The 22,821-nt window shown below is 35.2% G+C and overlaps 1 protein-coding gene across 11 annotated transcripts in view; it reads left to right on the forward strand.

The window, feature by feature from the left end:
• Window positions 1–22,821, forward strand: part of NAALADL2 (N-acetylated alpha-linked acidic dipeptidase like 2) — a 1,369,567-nt gene that overhangs the window by 229,669 nt on the left and 1,117,077 nt on the right. For 6 of the 11 annotated variants that reach the window (XM_017006077.3, XM_047447876.1, XM_017006078.3 and 3 more), the window contains one exon: window positions 21,323–21,406. The exons of the other annotated variants lie outside the window; for them this stretch is intronic. The gene's annotated coding sequence lies outside the window, so the exon portion shown is untranslated. The remainder of the gene's footprint in view (window positions 1–21,322; window positions 21,407–22,821) is intronic. 11 annotated transcript variants of the gene reach the window in all.

The raw sequence follows: 22,821 nt of genomic DNA on the forward strand, positions 1-22,821 counted from the left end.
TCTATGAATTGAACTGTAGGAAATTATTGATTTTTGATCTTTAAAAATAATAATTTCATATAATTCAACATAATATATTCTGCTTACCTTTAAAGTCATTTTGTCCCTTTGTTTAGCAGTGAACTGATACTTTCTAACACCTTATATGGTTTGAATCTGTGTCCCTGCCCAAATCTCATGTTGAAATGTAATTCTCAGTGCTGGAGGTGGGGCTTGGTGGGAGGTGACTAGATCATGCGAGTGGTTTTTCATTGTTTAACACTATCCACCTTTGTACTGTCATCACAATAGTGAGTTCTCCTGAGATCTGGTGGTTTAAAAGCATGTAGCACCTCCCTCTCTCACCCTTTATCCTGCTTTAGCCGTGTAAAATGTGGCTGCTTCCCCTCTGCTTTCTGCCATGATTGTAACTTCTGAGACCTCCCCAGAAGCTGAGCAGATGCCAGCGTCATGCTTTCTGTACAGGCTGTGGTACCGTGAACCAATTAAACCTCTTTTCTTTATAAATTACCCAGTCTCAGGTATTTCCTGATAGTAATGCAAGAATAGACTAATACACTCAACCACATACTGTTTATATACTGTTAATGAAGGGAATTTCCACACTTATGAGGTAGTTTATTCCAATGATGGTCAGAGTGCAAGGAAGTTCTATAACTTATATTAAGTGAAATGCTATCTCTTGGCAATGTCCATTGTTGGGGTCCTAGTGAAATCATCTTTATAAAAATTACTAATTACCTACTCTGTATGAAGTATTCTCACAGATATTAGAAAAAACAATGTGGGAAAGATAGACACAACCCCTGCAGGCTTGGGGCTTAGTTAGGACCACTGAAAATGTGTGGTGAGGGAGAGAACAGGAGGAACTGTTTCTGTCCTTAACACAGTTTCCCCAAATCATATTCTTTCAAACATTAGGCACAATGATGTGATGAATTTGAAGACTTATGAAAATATGTCAAAAATACTATCCGGGAAAAATCCATTGAATATGAGTAAACAGATTTCATATCCCTTTACCCCCTCACCTTCTATTCTTTAGGTTAAAACATTTACACTTGTCAGAGGTTCCTAGCATAGATTTTGGAGTTATAGGAACCTGGGTTTGAAGCCCAGCATTTCTGCTTTTGGTGCTGCAAACTTGAAGCTCAGTGTCCACATATGTGAAAATGAAGATTTCAGCATTTCTGACCAAATAAGGTTCTTTGATGGTCAAATGAAATAATTCCTACAAGCTTCTTAGTGAAGTGTCTAGTTCAATAAATGTTAACTACTGTGATGATGATGATGATGATGATGATGATGATGACAGTGGTGATGATGGCATTGTTTCAAGTTGTTCTGCAATCCTTTATAAGTATTTCTGAGTAATGTAATGTGTGGATATACATTGCCTAAATTCTGAACTAAGAATATTCTAAATATCCTTAACTGATTAAGGTAAGGCAAGAGACACCTATGATTCACATTTCCTCTGCCCTTGTGTGATTTTGCTGCTCTAGCACAATGCATTTCAATGTTTACTTTTTTTCTTTCCCACATTGGGACAATAGCTAAACTTTGGTTCTCTATACTTCATACTTGGAATATAGCTATTTATTTTTGTAAAAAGTTTAAAAGTGAAACAAATTCGTGTTTGGCTACAAATACCAATAAGAATTTTTTATCTACTCAGAAGCACTCACTTTGCCAAAAGATGTGTGGAAAATTGTACTGATCTAATCAACATTCAGTACATGTTTATTGAGGGCCTATTATGGGGTCAGGCTCTATTCTATCATATGGAAATAGAACATTGAGCAAATCAGATAAAAATTCTGACCTTCTGGATCTTATGTTCTAGCAAGATAAGTAAATAAATTAATGTAGTATAAGATCATATCTATATGATGATCATGATGATGATAATGGGGTGTGCGTATTATATGTTAGGCCGAAATACTTTCTAATGAGAAGTAGAATAGGAAGTGTCAGGGAGCACAGTTTTATAGAAGATAGGCTAAGAAAGGTCTAAGGGAAGTGATTTTTGAATAAAGATCTGAAGGTGCTCAGGGAGTAAAGCATGTGATTATTAAAGAGAAGAGTATTCCAGGCCTTGAGGACAGCAAATGCAAGATTCCTAAAGTGAGAGAAGCCTAGTATGTTTGAGAAGTGGTAAGGAGGTCACTGTAACTCAAATGAAGGGGAAAAGAAGAGAGTGAAAGCAAAGAAAGTCAGCAAGGTCATGGAAATCCTAGGCCATTATAAAGATTGTGGCTTGTACACAGTGGCTTGTACAGTGAAAGGGGAAACTGTCGTGGGGTTGTACACAGAGGCATGTCTCATTCTGATGTATATTTTCACAAAATCCCTTTGGCTGCGGTGTTGATTAAAGCCTACATAAGGGAAGTTCCATCTAAGTTGACGTGATGTGTTATTAAAGAAAGAAATAGAGAAAATAAAGAAAAGATACATTTTTAAGTGTGAGAATTAGGCCAATGGAATACTTTCAGCTGGAATAATTTCAACTTATTCAAAAGGTATTCACTAAATGCTTTTTACAAGCCCACTTTATGCAAGACATTGGGCAAGGTCTTGGGGCTAACAGGTAACTGATAGCATTTCTTTTTTTCAAGGAATTCATGATGTAACTATAATAAAAATTAAATTTCATAAAGAAGAATAAATAGGAACTTGGAAGCAGAAATATGTATTTTAGGCTGTGAGAATCTGGGGCAGCATCATACATGGAAATACATTTGCTATGGGCCTTGAAGTAATAATAGATAATTGGCAGGCTTAATGAATGAAGATAATGTGGTATGTGTACACAGTGGAATACTGTTCAGCCGTAATTTGCAGCAACATGGATGGAAATGCAGATCATTGTGTTAAGTGAAATAAGCCAGGCACAGAAAAACAAATATTACAAATTCTCACTCACATGTAAGAACTAAAAGCGGATCTCATGGAGGTAGAGAGTAGAATGATAGTTACCAAAGGCTGGGAAGGGGGTGTGTTCGGGGGGTGAGAGGATGAAGAAGGCTTGGTTAATAAGTACAAAGATACAGTTAGATAGAAGGAATAAGTTACAGCATTGGCTAGCACAATAGGGTGACTATGCTTAAAAACAGTATACTCTATATTTCAAAATAGCTTGAGGAGAAGATTTAAAATGTCCCCAACACAAAGAAATGATAAATCCTCAAAGTGATGGATATGCTAAATACCCTTATTTGATCATTACACAATGTATGCATGTATCAAAATATCACATGTACCACATAAATTTGAAAAAATGTTATGTATTAATAAAAAAAAATTGGCAGCTGTTTTAGGCAATTCTTACATTGCTATAAATATATTAATTTGGACAGTTTAGGAAGAGAAGAGGTTTAATTCACTTACAGCTCTGCAGGCTGTACAAGCATCGTGCTGGCATCTGCTTAGGTTCTGGGGAGGTCTCAGGGAGCTTTAACTCATAGTGGAAGGAGAAGAGGGAACAGACATGTCATATGGTAAAAGCAGGAGGAAGAGAGAGTGAGGAGTGAGGTGCCACACACTTTTAAACAACCAAATCTCATGCGAACTCACTCATCACCAAGGGGATAGCATTAAGCCAGTCATGAGGGATACACTGCCCATGATCCAAACACCTCCCTCCAGACCCCACCTCCAATACTGTAGATTACACTTCAACTTGAGATTTAGTGGGGATGCAGATCCAAACCATATCAGCATGTCTAAAAGGTGAGGAGACAGCCATTCCAAGCCATACATGTCTTGTCATTGTATGTATTGAAAACCTACAAATACTGTGAAACGGAGCTTCTTTGTTTCAAGGGATGATGTCCCATTTCTACTCAACCACTCTTCCTTTTTTTTTTCCACCTATCTTTATGTCGTCTGTAGTTTGAAAAGGGTTTTACACATAATACTGAAAATATTTGTTGGATTTTAGCTTTTGGTGGAAATAATTCCTTTTAAATAACTTATCTACCCTTTTATTGGGCCTAAAGCAGGTGCGAGAAGAGGCAAATTATTGAAGTTGATGAGGAAACAGGGTCTATTTTTTTACACTATCATTTTCCCTGCCTTTTTACTTCTTTTCTCCCTTCACTCTTTGTATGTTTTTTTCTGACTTTCTCTTCTCATCCCAGAATCTACTCAATGACCTTCATAAAATGCTTAAATATGTTATTTAGGCTTATAACTGACTTTATTTTTAAACCAGTCAAACCATTTGTAAGTTTTCTACTTTTTTAAAAAATTGAGTGTTCTCAAATTCTGTTTTCTGTCAGTCAGTAGTCTTAGATAAGAAAATGTTTCTCACCTTAGTTATAGGTTATATGCATTATTGATATTTGACTGAACGCCACTAGTTTTCAAGATGTGATGTAACTTTTGGTCTAACCTAACCTTTTCTTGTTTTAATGGTTTCTGCTGTGAATTAATAGAAATATATATTTGCTTTATATTAAATTGCAATTATTGAGTATGTAAATATGAACTTCAAGAGATGGTTTGTTCCTTTAGCAACTTTTGGAAATAAGTATTTCACTTTTAAATTTACCAATTTAGTGAGGAAAAACACCTAAAGGAGCTTTGAGATTATTCCTAGTTTTGAAATGTGACTATTTAGGGATGACATTTGCACTTGAGAGCTGCTGCAGAAATGGGTTCATCTAGTTAACCTTCATCTGAATTGCCACCCTCTGCTTTATCCTATGAAACAACTGGTGAAGAGAAAATGTTAATTAGGAAGCTTTTCAAGATTAATTTTTTTCATTTTCATAAAGTGAAGTGTTCACCACTTTCCATGTTAAATAAGGTTCCTCGCTTGGCAACATAGGCTTTGCTGCAGTAATTGTGTGCTCACAGCAAATACTTGATGGTAAAAAAGACAAGTGCAAAAAGCAATTTTTGCAACAGCCAACCAGAACAGACTGTTCTGTTCCCAATAAATTAATGGATTTAACCTTGCAGCTGTAGCAGTGTTATTATGCAAATACTCTCTGAGTATAATGAAAGCCAAGTGATTCTCTATAGAGAAAGTTGTTTCTTTCTTCCTGAGAATTCTAAGTGACTAGATAATTGACACATTGTGTAACCATGTTAAGTGAAGGAAAAAAATATTTTCAGTAAGTCTACCGAGTTTGATTTTATGTTCCAATGTTTTCAGCAATTTATTGAGGCTTTTACTGAGAACAATATATTTAGCACAGTAAATTCCAATGTCCACAGACAACCTCCTAGAAAATGAAGAAATTGGAAATAGTAGATAGCTCTTTACGTTGTTTGTTTTAATTTAAGCAGAAATAAAAATTTCCTTTATTTTTATTCAAGTATAGTGGTCGGGTCATGCCAAGTGTCTTCAAAGCAGTAGATTTGCATTCTGATTCATGATGAACTAGAAAATTGTCATCTAATTATTGGATCAAGTTGATAGCCACTTTGGTTTTTGAAGCTGATCTTAGATTTATACCACATGTGAAACACTTGTCATTGAAGGTTTATTCTTGGTAATTGACCAATTGTGAAGATCACTCAAAGTGCTCTTCACTAGATTGAAGTTTCATGGCTAAATGAAATCTTCGATGATTTAAAAATATTTAAAACAGGAAGTATAAGTGTGGGAACACTGGCCGCTTCATTGTGGTAAGGCTTTAGTCAATGGATGAGAAAATGATAATCCTTGGAATTAGTTCAACCATTTTATATGAACAATTTGCATATATTGTTTTTGGTTTTTATCATAGCCAGTATTCTATGTGAGCTTTATATTATTAGGTCATATAAAATCAAGTGTCTATTCAATGTATTCCAAAATATTTTGTAAACCATTACTTACATATGCAAACATTAGGGATTATAATAGCCGTAGTTGTATAATTGAAAGAACACTAAATTTGGAATCTGAAATCCTACAACTATGCACTTTTGACTTTTTTGTAACACCTTAAAGATTTTTCTTCATCTATAAGTAATAACATTTTAGAATAGATTTATGTGAGACAGTATATGTATAGGAGTTGTATAAACTTTACATCACAAAATAAATGTTCTTTAATGATATTAGTATATATTTATTGTCATTATCTTTCATCAAAGGTCTTTATTAAGTAACATTTACCTCGAGTTAATAATTCTCAGATTTGCATTCCAAACAAAATGTTATAAATTTCTATAAGTTAGTTTAAAAATTTTTATCATGTAGTTAGTGAATAAGGAAACATATTTATAGAAATGAATAATGAACTGAATTTAATAATTATATCATTGCTGTTACTTTTTAAAAAACCCTGGTATATATAATTATATTCATTGAAAGTATTGATTCATGACACAGTTATCATTTATCATGTATACCTCTTGGCTAGCTAGCTATCCATTCTTTTTTCTCATATTTTAATAATATCCTGAATACTGTACCTACTTTTCAACTTGTATCTGTGTAAATGCTTACTAACCTCTATCATATCTATCTGCCGCCTTTTGGCTCTGCAGTGACTCTAATCCAAGTTTGGCATTTATAATTTCCTTGCTTTTAACCATCATCATTTGACACATATGTTTGTGACCTTAAACATATGTGTTTAAACTAAACATATTTTTTAGTTTTGCACACTTTTGGACTTTAACATCATATTTAAAGTCCTCTCCTGGGACTTGTTTTTTTCACTCAACATTATGTTCCTATGTCATTCATATCATTGTAGCTGTAGTTACTTTTTACAGCTGTATTATGTTTCATCATGCGAATATACGATTATTGAGTTACTTTTTATTCTGTCAATAACATTTGGTATTTTTTCATTTTGTGTTTCTAATATAGACAGTGCTTCTGTGAACATTCTTATACACAGTCAATTCTTACTATTCACAATAGTTATGTTCTATGAAGTCAAAGAGAACACTGAATCTGTGAATAGTAAATCATTGTGCCTAGAAGAAATACAGCATTTGCTTCATGCAAATCTCTAGTCACAACATTTTTATATATCAGTCAATCCATAACCTTGTTTTATGTGTGTTTCTGTTTAAAGAGTTGTTAATTAATAATGAATATTGTTGATTCATTAACACTGAACTCATGGTCGATAGCATTGTAACTCATGCCTGAATGAAGCTTATCTAACATGCATTTTCTCCATGAGGAACATCAGAGCCGTCTTGCATCTAGAAATACTAGACAGCACTTCAGCACTATGCTTGGGGGCAATTTTAGAGAGCAAGATCTCCAAAAAGAAAAAAAAAAAGAAAAATGCAAAAAATGTATCAATAAATAGACTACAAAAAGGACACTTGTTTATAATATGAGAGCTGAACTAAGAAGGCAGAGCATCTCTTTGTTCAGCCTCAACTGGGCTTGTGGGATAACTTGAATTTTTCCTACTCTGCACATGCACACATCTGTGAATAATGGCAAAAGAGCATCATTTGGTGTTACAAAAAATTTTAGTGAGTAGGCAAATTCACAAGGACAGGCCATGAATAATGAGGATCAATTGTATGTCTCTTACTGCTTTACACACACTACCTTGCATGAGAATGACTTAGAGAGCTTGGTAAAAGTCAGATTCCTGGAGATACTGATTTAGGTCTGGAGTTGGGCCTGAGAATTTGAATTTCTAACCAGCTATTAGGTGATGCTGATAATGCAAGTTTATGGAACACACTTTGCAGAGCTTTTTCTTAGTAAACAGGTACAACAGTTATCTAAGGTATATGCTTTCCCTGAAATCACCAGTTCAAAGGCTGTGTTAAATTGCCCAGTTATACTTTATGCTTATCTTCAGCTTTACATGTAGGATGCCAAATTTTTTTCCAAAGTGGGTGTACAAATTTGCATTCCACATCAGCAGTGTTATGATTGTTTCATGTTATTACCGGTATTTGATGTAATCACACTTCTTCATTTATGCCATTTGATTTTTATTTACATTTCAATAATCACTGAAACATTTGAGTACTTTTCCATTTTGCATATTTTCATTACACATTCCTCTTGTATGATAAGCCTGTGAAAATGTTTTACTCATTTGCCACTGGGGTGTTACCAGCTGGCTATATTATATTAGTAAGTTCACAGAAGTTTAGAATTGTTATATTCCATTGGTAGATTGTATCGATTATTATTGTATACCGACTCTCTATATATTTAGTTTAAATTTGTTTGTCATGTATTCTAAGTTGACAGTTATTTTCTCCTAGCAAATCACAGACGTTGGTCAATTTTTGTTGCTCTGGAGAAGTCAACTATTTATTACCTTAACTGCCATTTATTTAAAGTTTATCTACTTTTCTCCTTGGCTGTTTTAAGATAATATCTTTCTTTTTGTTCTGCAGATAGTATCTTTCTTTTTGTTGTTACTGTGCTGTGTCTAGATACGAATTTCTGTTTAATTATGCTGCCAGACTTCATTGAGCTTCCCAAACCTTTGCACTGGTATCTTTGATGAGTTCTGATAAATTCTCATTGCTTGTCTCTTCTGACGTTGTCTGTCTCTCACTTGTCTGTCATTCCAATAGAACTTTATTTGACTTTCCTTCTTCACCCTGTAAGTCTGAACTTCTATTCTGCATATTCCATGTCCTTGTCTCTCTGTGCACTACACTGTGGATATTATATTTATATATATTTTCTAGTTCACTGTTTCCCTCTTCAATGATGTCTAAACTGGTATGGAAACTTAGAGAGTTTAAAATTTAATTATTTTATCTTTAATTTTAGAATTTCTGCTTGGTCTTCTTGCAGTTATACTGATTCAATATAGATTTTAATCTCTTTTTATGTACAATTTCTGTAAACATGTTAAACATATTTTATATTCCATGTCTAATGACTCCAACATTAAATTATGTATGTGGGTTACATCTGTGGCTCACATTGTATTTCTATTGAATATTGCTACTGTCGTGGGATCTTTGGGGTGTTCCTATAACAGCAGAAACCTCTGTGGCCAGTGGCACCTTTGCCTGAGTTTTTACTCAGGCCCACTGTGCTCGTTCCACCCACTCAGCTGGAAGGCACACCACCAAAAAATAAATTGTGTTTACTTCAGTGGAAGCAAAGTAACAAAACTTTTTCTAAATAGCTGCTGTATTAAGGAGGAATTTGGAATAATTTTAAAAATTAAAATAATATATTGCAAAATATTAATTTACAATAAAATATTATTTTGTATTCCTGCTTATGATTAGAAATTTCTTTAGGGAGAAGATATAATCTCTTAGTACCTCTTTGTTGTCAAAAATGTTTTGTTGAAATATGTACTTACAATTATGATTCTTATCTTTGAAAAGCGTGAAAATTGAGGGTGCCCAATCTTCAGAGTGTGGTCTTTAGTTGTAGGCATATCATTTGACTTAATCAGTTGGTATTGTGTTTTTCTTAATATCAAAATGTGTTTTTTATTTTTGACACACACTAGAAACTTAATAATATAACCAGGTATTTTGTATAAAAAAAATGAGTTCATAATTAAAAAACACTTTTAGCAATTTCTTTGACAATTTCTCAAAATGTTGAAACTTGGTTTTGTTTCTTCTCAGTAGATTTAAATATACCTTTGATTATGTAATTTACAATATACATTTAGCCTTTAAGTTAATTTTCACTTTTGAAAGTACCTGAACATTTGAAAGGAAATATGTTTTATTTTCAAATTCAAGGTCCCAAAAGCTAGATAATCTCATCGATGTTGAGTGCTCCCTCATGACTACTGCTTTTGACAGTCTTTTGATCTGTGACTTTTCTTGTTTCATTCCTCAAGCATGTTGCAGTGTCTCTTGTCACAATGAAGCTTACTCCCACATAGAATGGCACTACTTTAAGTATCTTTGTTTTTTCTTTACTTTTTTGTTTTGTTTTGGCATTTATCTGAAAACAAAAATTCCAAAAGGAACTCTTGATTTTATCCAAAGAATTATACTTTTACAAATTACTTCACCACCATTTTATGGAAAAGAAGTGTTATTTTTACAGTTTATCCCATTTTCTTTATTTTCTTTAAAATTCAGAAGTCCAAACTACGACAGTCTTTGCTTTTGGATATTTTGTGCCATATTCAAGATTGCTTCTCTAAAGACTTAAAATTACATAGTGACATGCTACTTAGAAAATAAGGAGAAGGAGGAGCAAGATGGCCAAATAGAAGCCTCCACTGATTGTCCTCCCCACAGGAACACCAAATTTAATAACTATACATACAAATAAATACCTTCATAAGAACTAAAAATCAGGTGAGCATTCACAGTACTTGGTTTTAACTTCATATTGCTGAAAGATACACTGAAGAGGGTGGGAAAGAGCATCTTGAATTGGTGACACCACCCTTCCTCCCCAGCCTCAACAGTAGCTGTGTTGCATGGAGAGAGAATCTGTGTGCTTGGAGGAGGGAGAGTGTACTAATTGCAAGACTTTGCATTGGGAACCCAGTAGTGCCCTGTCACAGCAGAAAGAAACACTGGGCAGAACTCAGCTGATGCCTGTGGAGGGAGCAATTACACCAGCACCCAGCCAGAGGGGTATCACCCATCCCAGCAACTGGAACCTAAGTCCCAGCAAGCCTCAGTACCACAGGCTAAAGTGCTCTGGGGTCCAGAATAAACTCAAAAGGTAGTCTAAGCTGCAAGTGCTGTAATTCCTGGGCAAGTGCTGATGCTGTGTTAGGCTTGAAGCCAGTAGACTTGGGGGCCACATGACCTAGTGAGACGTCAGCTGGGGTGGCCAAGAGAGTGCTTGTACTAACTCACCCCCAACCCAAGGCAGCATAGCCCACAGCTCTGAGAAAGACACCTTCCCTCTGCCTGCAGAGGAGAGGGAAGAGTAAAGAAGACTTGGTCTTGCAACTTGGATAGTAGCTCAATCACAAAAGGATAGGACTCCAATCAGAAACCTGATACCCCCATTCCAGGCTGTAGATCCTGGACATTTCTGGACACACACTGGGCCAGAAGGGGACCTCCTACCTTAAAGGGAAGAACCCAGTTCTGGCAGCATTCCTCGTTTGCTGGCTACTCGCCATGATCCTTGAGTGAGACTCTGAGAAGTGCTGGCTTCAGGTGTGACCTACAACTTTTCCAGTGTTGGTGGCTACAGGGAGAGACTTTAGAAAAGCAGAGGGAAATGTGAATAGGACATTGCCTTCCAGCTTAGATACCAGCTTGGCCACGGTGGGGTAGAAAACTAGTGGACTTGTTGGGTCCCTGATTCCAGGCCTTGGCTCTTTGATTGCATTTCTGGACCTGCCCTGAGCCAGAGGTGGGGACAACTGCCCTGAAGGCAGTGCCCCAGACCTAGCAGCATTCACTACAAGCTAACTGAAGAGCCCTTGTACCCTGTGTGAACATAAGTGGTAGCCAGGCAGTACTCACCACACACTTGTGGCAGTGGTGGCCATGGGGAGAGTGCTTGTACAACTCACCCCCAACCAAAGGCAGCACAGCCCACAGCTCTGGGAGAGATGCCTTCCCTCTGCCTGGAGAGAAGGGGGAAGAGTGAAGAGGACTTTGTCTTGCAAAGTGGATACCAGCTCAGTCACAAAAAAGAAAAGTGTGGGAAAGACTTTGTCTTATGGCTTGGGTGCAAGCTCAGCTGCAGTAGATAGAACATGAGGGAGTTTCCTGAGGTTTCCAGATACTGGCCATGGCTTCTGGACAGCATCTCTGCATTCATGTAGGCTATGGGAAATTCGACACAATGAAGGGAAGGACACAAGCCTGTCTGGCTTTGCCATCTGCTGTTGATAGAGCCCTAGGTCTTTGAGTGAACTTAGGTGATAGCCAGGCAGTGGTTACCACAGGCCTTGGTGAAACCCAATAACATGCTGGCTTCAGATATGACACAGTGCAGTCCCAGTTGTGGTGGCCACAGGGTGCTTGTTTTACCCCTCCCCCAACTCCAGGCATCTCAGCACAGAGAGACTGTTTGGGAGAAAGTAACAGAAGAAAACAAGAGTCTTTGCCTGGTAATCCAGGGAATTCTTCTGCAACTTATCCAAGACCACCAAGGTGGTACTATAAGTCTGCAAGAGCTACAGCATTACTAGGCTTGTGGTGGCCCCTAATGCAGATCTGATGGCAGTGACCAAAAACTTAGAGTACAGTAGTCAAGACCCTTAGAATACCTGGAAAGCCTTCCCAAAAAGATGGGTACAACCAAGTCCAGACTGTGAAGACTATAGTATTAATGAATACCTTACTGTTTGATGCTTTGACACTAATGAACATCCACAAACATCAAGACCATCTGAAAACATGACTTCACCCAAAAAACTATTTAAGGCACCAGTAGCTAATTTGGAAGAGACAGAGATATGTGACCTTTCAGACAGATAATTCAAAATACCTGTTTTGAGGAAACTCAAAGACATTTAAGATAATACAGAGAAGGAAATCAGCATCTTATCAAATACACTTAACAAAGAGATGGAAATAATTTAAAAGAATCAAGCAGAAATTTTCCAGTTGAGAAATGCAATTGACATACTGAAGAATGCATGCAGCATAATTGATCCAGCAGAATAAAGAATTAGTGAGCTTGAAGACACGCAATTTGAAAATACAAAGTCAGAGGAGACAAAAGAAAAAAGAATAAAAAACAATGAAGTGTGCCTACAGGATCTAGAAAGTAGCCTCAAAAGGGCAAATCTAAGAATTATTGACCTTAAAGAGGAGATAGAGAGAGATACAGGTAGAAGGAAGCCCAATGTCCATTTAAGTAAAAATTCAGGATTAATTGAAATTGTACCACAGGTGAGAATGCCAAAATTAAACATAACCACTTTTTTGTAGTTTTAGTATGCTTTATTTAAAAACTGTATATAATTAAAATATCAGAATAATTTACAAAGAAATAAACCTAATTTAAAAACTATGAAAAGTATCAAATACTATAAAAACTTCAGTTCACTAATATAGTTGTTATAGATAGATAGATAATATAGATAAGCAGATTTTAGGTAGATAGAGTAAGAAATTAACAGAACTTCTGGTGTGTGTGTGTGTGTGTGTGTGTGTGTGTGTGTGTGTAATGTATATGTATTTTTAACCATTTGGAATTTCTGGAACCTTGCCCTGCAAAATATAAGAGAAGAATGAGAAGAAAATAAATAACTTTTACAAAAGAAAATGTTAATTCAACTTGATAATTTTTCATCTTGCTTTAATACTATTATTTATCACACTGTGCATGCAATTTAAAGTGAAAATGAGAATCTATTTTTTCAGAGCTACAGAGTGTATAATATGCAGGCTGTTTAAAATAGCTTAGGTTTTAGAGATTATATTAGGGAAAGTTTTAAAAGAAACATTTATATTCATTTAATTTTTAATTTAACTTTTATTAGTTTTCTATGCATCACATTTAGGGAATATATAGGCTTCAATTTTTTTCTTATTCCCTCATGTGCAGATTACTTACTAAAAGAAGTTTGGCATTTCAGCCAATCTTTTTTGTGTTAAAATCACACACCCTCCTTACTTCCTTGTATATACTAGATTCACATTTTTCTCTCTAATATTAAAATCTAAAAATTTAAAATAGTATTACTTATACAATTATTGAATCCTTATACTTCATGCTTTTAGAATTTGTAGATTCAGGTGGAGTAAATAATAAACATTATCTTTACTTGATCAACAAATTGCAGACTATTTAAACACGACTGAATGGGTATTCAAGATTATTAAAAGAATAAGTAACCATAAACCCTTGCAAAATATGAGTTTACAAATATACCTTTTATAAGTTTAACCCATTTATTCATTGAAATTATTCCCATAAGTGTCTGTTAACCTCTTTACAAAATTGAATTTCATTTTTTCAAGCTAGTTTGAGTAATTGCATGTAATCAGAAGGAATATAATTGACTTTCTTTAAAATACTCAAACTTTTTGGTTATTTCAGACATCCTTGCTGAGATTCATGAATTTTTCCATACTCATTTAAGTAAACTATAATCAGGTTAATCAGTGTTTCATGTTTTCTAATACTTTTTCTAGGACTAATGTGACAGTTCATGGAAGAGCAGCTATCCTTTATGATTGTGTTCTATGACATAGGACAGGCAGTTTTTGATTAAATGTGTGGTTCCTTTAAAATTCAGAAGAGTTTTCTGATCAAAATGATTACAAAACTGTGAATGGAAGTTGACATCCCTACAGTATTAAGGAGCCTGATGCAAACCAACGAGCTATATTATATTTAACAACAGGACACTTGATGAACTCTCATTGAAGTGAGGAAAAACAAAGACAAGGGTTTTCTTGTCACCCGGCCACTGTGATAAAGTAGATTTTCTGCCTATGTCCTCATTCATCTTCTTGTCTGGTTCCTCTCATCTCTTTACCTTTTAGATATTGGGAATGACTTGGTTCTTATTTTTAGGGATCTTTTTTTATCTACACTCACTTTTCTGGTTAAGCTTGCCTAGTGTCACGGTTTTAAAAAACTGCTATTCCCTGAATGGTCCCAAATGTATATCCTACGCTCAGATCTCTCCCCAAAACTTTCCTAAAGTCAGCTATCAATTGACGTAAGTGCCTAATAGAAATCTCATGTGATCCAAAACTGAACACATGATTTCAGTGTTCCTTGGTCTTCCTTCAGTTCTTTGCCTCTTGGTAAATGGCAGCTGCATCCTCCCTTTGCCCAGGCCCAAATCTCATCATCATCTTGATTCTTCTCTTTCTCCCACAATCTACAAGCAATCTGTTGTCAAATTCTGACAAATTTATCCAAAATGTATCTAAAACTCTACCAATTCTTACCACCAACTGCTGTCACCATGTTTAAGCCACAGTTGATTCCAAACTTCTCTTCCATTTTCTGACTATGCCCTTTTTCTGTTTATTTTCATGGAGCAGCTAGAGAAATTTTTTTTAATGACAGCCATTTATGGAAGTGAGCAGAATGAACACCTAATCTGAGGGTTTGGTGACGATGTTATAACCTGGCTTTTGACTTGGCTCCATCCTCCTACACTGAAGTCATTGGCTTTTTGGCCTGTGTTTTATTTTATCCATTTACTTTTATTTAACTTTTATTATAAGTTCAGGGGTACATTTGCAGATTTGTTACATAGGTAAACTTGTGTCATGGGGGTTTAGTGTACCGATTATTTCATCACCCATGTGTTAAGCCTAGTACTCATTAGTTATTTTTCCTGATCTTCTCCCTCCTCCCACCCCCACCCTTCCATAGGCCGCAGTGTGTGTTGTTCCCCTCTGTGTGTCCATGTATTATCATTTATCTCCCATGTATAAGTGAGAACATGCGGTATTGGTTTTCTGTTCCTGTGTTAGTTTGCTAAAGATAATGGCCTCTAGCTTCCATCCATTTTCCTGTAAAGGATATGATCTTGTTTATTTTTCATGGCTGTATAGTATTCCATGGAGTATATGTGCCATATTTTCTTTATCCCGTCTGTCATTGATGGGCATTTAGGTTGATTCCATATCTTTGCTATTGTGTATAGTGATGCAATGAACATATGCATGCATATGTCTTTCTGATAGAATGATATATATTCCTTTGGGCGTATACCCTTTAATGGGATTGCTGGATTAAATGGTATTTCTGTCTTTAAGTCTTTGAGAAGTTGCCACACTATCTTCTGCAATGGCTGAACTAATTTACACTCCCACCAACACTATATACATGTTCCTTTTTCTCCACAACCTTGGCAGCATCTGTTATTTATTTATTTTCATTTTCAAAAGAGGTGAAGCATCTGTTATTTTTTGACTTTGTAATAGCCATTCTGACTGGTGTGAGATGGGATCTCATTGTGGTTTTGATTTGCATTTCTTTGATGACTGGTGATGTTAAGCTTTTTTCATATGTTGAGCTTTTTTTTTTTCCACATGATTATTGGCTGCTGGAGGCATCATGCTACCCACTTCAAACTATACTATAGGGCTAACCAAAACAGCATGGTATTGGTACAAAAACAGACACATAGAACAATGGAACAGAATAGAGACCCAGAAATAAGCCTGCACCCCTACAACTATGTGATCTTCGACAAACTTGGGAAAAACAAGCAATGGGGAAAGAATTATCTATTCAATAAATGGTGCTGGGATAACTGGCTAGCCATTTGCAAAAGACTGAAACTGGACCTCTTCCTTATGTCATGTGCCAGAATCAACTCAAGATGGATTAAAGACTTAATTATAAAAATTATAATTATAAAACTATAAAAGCCCTGGAAAACAACCTAAGCGGTACCACTTAGGATATAGGAATGGGCAAAGATTTCATGATGAAGACAACAAAAGCAATTGCAACAAAACCAAAAATTGACAAATAGGATCTAATAAAACTAAAGAGAAATTTTTTTAGTCATTACATCAGGTCATGTCACCTTTCTGCCCCAGTCTGTCTTATGGCTTCCAATCCCACCCAGAATGAAAGCCAGATTCCTCACACTGTCCTACAATGCCTGTACAATGGAATAGCTGCCATTCCTCTGAGTTTATCTCCTAATCCTCTCCACCAACTTTTCTCATTTCTTTATCACAAACTTGGTTAGTCTTCCTGATCCTAGATATCACTGGAACCCTCCTTTCTCGAGCCTTTTGTAATTTCTAATCCTGTAATTCACTATTCCTCCCATATTTATGGATTGTGTTCTTATCTTCTTCAGGTATCTATGCTTCCCTTAACACCTTGCATTCAAAAGTGACTCACAACCCTACCCAATGCACTCTATCCCTCTTACCATAATATGTTTTTATCTTTTGCACTCAACACATTAGTATATCAAATGTTTACTTGTTTATTATTTGTAATGTGTGTTTTGGCCTATTGGATTTAGAGGTGATTCGCTTACAATATACTAGGGGATCCAAGAAAAAAAATGTATCTAACTAATAAAATAGAATTAGCTAGCCAAACACAGTGGTGTCCTGGTAAATGTTAACAACTGGCTTTATGGTGAGAAGGGGGCAAAAATAAATCGACAAGTGCAATAAAATAATTAGGAAGTGATGGGTTTTGAGTGTTTATTACCTTTGTTTCTAATACAATTTCTTTAATTTTATTTATGTTAATATAATTTGATATGGTTTGGCTGTATCCCCACCCAAATCTCACCTTGAATTGTAATAATCCTCATGTGTCAAGGGCAGGGCCAGGTGGAGATAATTGAATCGTGGGGGCAGTTTCCCCCATACTGTTCTCATGGTAGTAAGTAAGTCTCATGATATCTGATGGTTTTATAATGGGAAGTTCCCCTGCACAAGCTCTCTTGCCTGCCACCATATAAGACGTGCCTTTGCTACTCTGCCTTTCACTACGATTATGAGGCCTCCCCAGCTATGTGAAACAATCAGTTCATTAAACCACTTTTTCTTTATAAATTACCCAGTCTTAGGTATGTCTTTATTAGCAGTGTGAGAACAGACTAATACATAATTTTATATCTTATGTAATTTTAGTAATAGATGTGTTTAATAATTTGTAAAATTCCTGAAAATTTAGCTGTTGGCTTTTATAAGCTGGTATTAGCCAGTCCCTGCCACTAAGTCCTGGCTTCACCATATGTAAAATCTGTTGTCTTGGATAAACCATTTAGCTTATCTTTACCTCAGTCTTTTAAAATGTAAAACAGACCTAATTATAGTTACCACCTCAATGGATGATTATGAAGATAAATTTAATAACATAAAGCAGTTACCTGATATACAAGTAAGCAGTCTGTAAATGTTAGCTATTATTATTAGAATTATCATTAGAAATTCTTAATATTAAAATAATATAAAAAATATAAACAATCAGTCACATAAGGCAGAGTAAATACGAGAAATAGTGTAAAGATTAATTAAACCTATCTCATATAGTTGTTGTGAGCTTTAAATGAGTTAATATACACTAAGTTCTTATAACAGTATCTGGCATATAGAAAGCAGTATCTTTCTATTGGCTGTTATTATTCTTCTCAATAAAAATTTAGAAAACTGAGAAATTGCAATAAATATTTGAATAAATGAAGAGACAGTTTACCTTTCTGTGGGAGGACTATATGTTGTAGCGATTCAACTTTACAAATTAATTTATAAATGTAATGGAGTTAAATAAAATAGCAATTGTATTGTTTTAAGGGAGAGACTAGAAGCATAACTTATTATATAAAGTCTTCTTTTAAGATAAAGAGCAATGATAAGGAAAGACTTGCCTTGGTAGATCTTAAAAGTATGTTTTTGTTCTTAAACTATAAATGGTTACTAGAGATGGTATTTTGTGGGGCCAAAAAATTAATTTTGGAGTTTGAATATAACACTTAGTAGCTGTTCAATTTTGGTCAAGACAATTAAATGTTATCTTCAGAATCTTCATCTGTAAATAGGTTACTACATCAGCAAAAAAAAAAAATTATGTAATAGAGTTGTTACAGGAACATTCTGATAATAGCAGATATGAGAACTCTTTATATATGGCATAGCAATAATAGACTTTGTGTGATTATTGACATGAATAAAAACAATAAGTATAATGTTTATTTTTTATTAATTACGAACCTGTTTTATTTCTCTCTCATGAAAATAACTTTTATATGCACAGGGTATGAGCTCACTTTGTCTAGATATTTTTCTATGCTCAAAGCCTAGATATTTTTGTTAGTCTTTTTGCTATGCCTGGATTGCCCTTTTCTATCATCTCTGTTAATTGAAATAGCCCTCAGCCATCAAGAGCCACAAGAATACCAATTGTTTCATGAACTACTGCCTAAATCCCCCTCTACCCCCCGCTTCACCTTTTTTTTACCAGTTTGAGCAATGGGTCACTTCTGCTTGTCATGGATCATCTTCCATTTTCCTTTTCTGTTATCCCATTCAACCTCGGAATCCCTTGCCTCTTCAGAATAGTCTGGGAATCAGCAGTATGAACATCACCGGGGAGCTTGTTAGAAATGTAGAATTCCAGGCCATACCCTAGATGAAAATCTCCAGGTAGTTCTCCTCTATATTATAGTTTGCGAAGGGCTCTTCTAATTAGTCATGAACCTCTTGAGTGTTGGGAAATGGTGAGAGGAGAGTTGCTCCATCTTATCTTGATGCCCTCTAGAAGGCCCAGAATCTTTCAATGCTTTGCACATAGTAGGTATTCAATTGGTGGGTGTTGAATTGAGTTTTAATTTTAGTATTTTGAAGTCAGGAAAATACAGTTTAGGAAAACTCAAATGTTGGGAAAGAATGTTCTAAAGTCAGAGCAAGAGTAAAGCTATTCATTATTGATGCTACTCACATCAACTAATCAATATTTCTTGGTCATCAACTACTACTGTACCTTTTCATGCATAAAATATTTGTATAGATCCTTGATCTTCTAAAAAAAAAAAGGTCCTGAGTCTAACCTTTATCTTCAAAGAATTTATTTAGATAACTAAGTCAAAATGTGGTTGCTTTGTCATCCTTGTAAATATTTAATATATGATATTAGAAGTCATGACAGAACTGTAAGGCATTGTGCATCCAAAAATGACTGGTAAATATCAAGATGTGATTTCATTAAATTATTTAAACAGATCAATGTATCATTTGTTTTGATTGTCTAGAAAATGGTGAACAAAACTATAAGCAACAATTTTTTGTGATTAAAGTAAGACGATCATATACTGTAAAGAATTTTATTTTCCAATGTATGATTTTTAGATAGTGATATTTTCCCTTTCATACTTCATTTGTAGGATTTTTCTGTCAAGAATTTTATCAACATTTTAAAAGTTTTACGAGTATCATTAATTAACATTTATCTGTCTGGATACATTGTTGTTGTGGATTAAATTAAGCATATCTTAAATTGTAGGTGGTCTCTTTCCATTACCTAGAAATTTGCAAGTCTGCTTCTCTCTGCTGTCAGCTGATATGTGCTTAGGGAACAGAAACTAATTTAACATTAACCTAAGCAAAATGTAATTAGGAGGCTAATCTGCTGAAAAATACCCCCAGCAAATTCTATTTTTATGCAATGCCATTTTAATGGAAATGGCATTTTTATGAAATGCGAGTGACAAAGAATTGAATGATGCCTGTGAGCCTTTTATTTAATTTTGTGTGTTCTGTAATTTGTTAATAAAAGGGTAGGAGCACTCCACTCCTACCATTTTGGATATGGAATAGATTTGCAAAGTAGAATTCTTAATGTAAATATCCACTTTTAGTGCAAATAATTTTTTAAAAGTACAAACCTATGCCATAATTGATGCTCTAAATGGGTAGCGTGTGTGTATGTGTGTGAACGTATGGCATGACAACTGTAAGTAAAAGAGCTTTGGAAATTATTTCATGTTTCTCATCACTGCCCCTTTTCATCAAGACGAATAATTAAAATTGACTTTGCTTGTGTTACTTTCCTTTCCATGAATTTTCTGCCTTCCCAACGCATATAAAAGTTATGTTATGCTATATACCCATCTACTGACTGTGCAGTACCATTATGTCTAAATAAACAATGCATATATTTTAATTTAAAAATACTTTATTGTTAGGCCAGGTGCAGTGGCTTATGCCTGTAATCCCAGCACATTGGGAGGCTGAGGCGTGTGGATGACCAGAGGTCAGGAGTTCGAGACCAGCCTGTCCAACATGGCAAAACCCCATTTCTACTAAAAATACAAAAATTAGCCAGGTGTGATGACGTGCACCTGTAATCCCAGATACTTGGGAGACTGAGGCAGGAGAATCGCTTGAACCCGGGAGGCAGAGGTTGCAGTGGTCCGAGATCGCGCCACTGCACTCTGGCCTGGGTGACAGAGTGAGACTCTGTCTCAAAAAAAATAATTAAATAAAACCCACAAAAAAAAAACTGAATTGCTAAAAAATGCTAACAATCATCTGAGCCTTCAGCAAGTCCTAATTTTTGTTGGTGGAGAGTCTTGGCTGAAGGTTGATGGCTGCTGACTAACCAGAGTCATAGTTGCTGAAGGCTGGGGTGACTGTGGCAATTTCTTAAAATAAGACAACAGTAAAGTTTACCACATCAATTTACTCTTCCTTTTACAAAAGATTTCTCTGTAACATGCGATGCTGTTGGATAGCATTTTACCCATAGTAAAATTTCTCTAAATACTGGAGTCAATCCTCTGACACCTGTCTGCTGCTTTAAAAAGTAAGTTTATGTAATATTCTAAATCTTCTCTTGTTATTTCAACACTGTTCGTGACATCTTCAGAAGTAGTAGGTTTCATCTCATGAAATCACTTTCTTTGCTCATTCATAAGATGCAGCTCCTCATCAGTTCAAGTTTGATTATTAGATTGCAGCAATTCAGTCATATCTTCAGACCCTACTTCTAATTCAATTTCTCTTGCTACTTTTACCACATCTGCAGTTACTTCTTCCTCTGAAGTCTTGAAACACTCCAAGTCATCCTTGAGGGTTGAAATCCACTTCTTCAAAACTCCTGTTAATATTGGTATGTTGACCTCCTCCCATGAATGTTCTTAATGGCATCTTGAATGGCGAATATTGTACAGAAAGTTTTCAATTTCCCTCACCCAGCTCAATCAGAGGAATCACTATGTATGGCAGCTGTAACCTTACCAAATGTATTTCTTAAACAATAAGACTTGAAATGACTCCTTAATCTATGGGTTGCAGAATCGATTTTGAAATCAAGTAATGGAACGCCTCTGGCTTTGCTCTTCTTGTTTATGATTGTTTTAACTATTTGGGTTTCCATGTAAATTTTTGGATCACGCATAATGAGCTCAGGAGGGAAGAGAAAGAACAAGTTATGGCTCAAGTGCATTAGTCTCTGTTCCTACTGAGATTTAGTAGATTTTTTAAAAATAAATATTTCCATTTTATTATACAAACTTAAAACAATTTCCATAAACTTTGGCTATTTTTTTGTAATTTTTCAGTTGTTATGGTTGTGCCATTGGGATGAGAGTGCTGCTCATTCCTCATGCTGCTGTTCTGGAAGCTGTATTTTAAGTCTTTTGGCTTAGGGCCACTATGGATATATTTCTGAGATACTAAGGGTACCACCAAAAAAGAATGTTCGGAAACCTCTATACTAGGACAAATTACTAAGCCCATTCATGTTTCAGAATTTACATCTTTAAAATAGATGAAGTATATCCTGACACATAAGAAACCAATAACAAACTTGGCTATGTGTTGTTTATATTTCATATGCTTGTTAGGAGGAAGTATATATGTAAAAATGCTGTGTAAAATACTGCAATCATTATTGTCTCTTTTAAACAAGTTTTCATATTTTACTTCATTTTGTTCCTGAACTCAACTTGATAATAAAATTATTGGTATAAAAGGTTCTATTTGTAGGGACCCATATGAACTCATACCTTTCTTGAGATTCAACATACAGAATATAAATACCAACCAGTAAAATAATAAATGATAATTAATTCCTCTGTATCACTTTAAGTCTGTGATCAAAGTAGAAGTCTAAGTTCATGATATCTCTTGTGGATTAAGACCCAGTAGGCACTGTTCTTCCAGTACTGCTCTTAGGGCCATCAGGAGTTAACATCCAATCACTATTCACCAGGATGTTCTTGGCTTTAATTATTATTGCTTAACTTTGGTTCATTTAGAACTGAATGCTAAAGTCCATGCAGCTTGAGTGTATGAAAACCTGTTTTATGACATGGAGAGTTTACTGCATTCACTTTTCTTAATTCATGTCAAACTTTCAAATGTTTTACTTGGTAGAAGTGGACCATAGGGTGTTGCATCTTTCCTAAAACACAATTTATCTGGAAGCATCATGAAGGAATGTTTTCTTAAATGCATTTTGGAAAATAAATTGTTCATCTTTTGGTCTTTATTTTACTACCAAGAAATTTTCCAACTCCAGTA

The sequence above is a fragment of the Homo sapiens genome, chromosome 3, assembly GCF_000001405.40.
Source record: "Homo sapiens chromosome 3, GRCh38.p14 Primary Assembly".
In the NCBI taxonomy this organism is placed as follows: domain Eukaryota; kingdom Metazoa; phylum Chordata; class Mammalia; order Primates; family Hominidae; genus Homo; species Homo sapiens.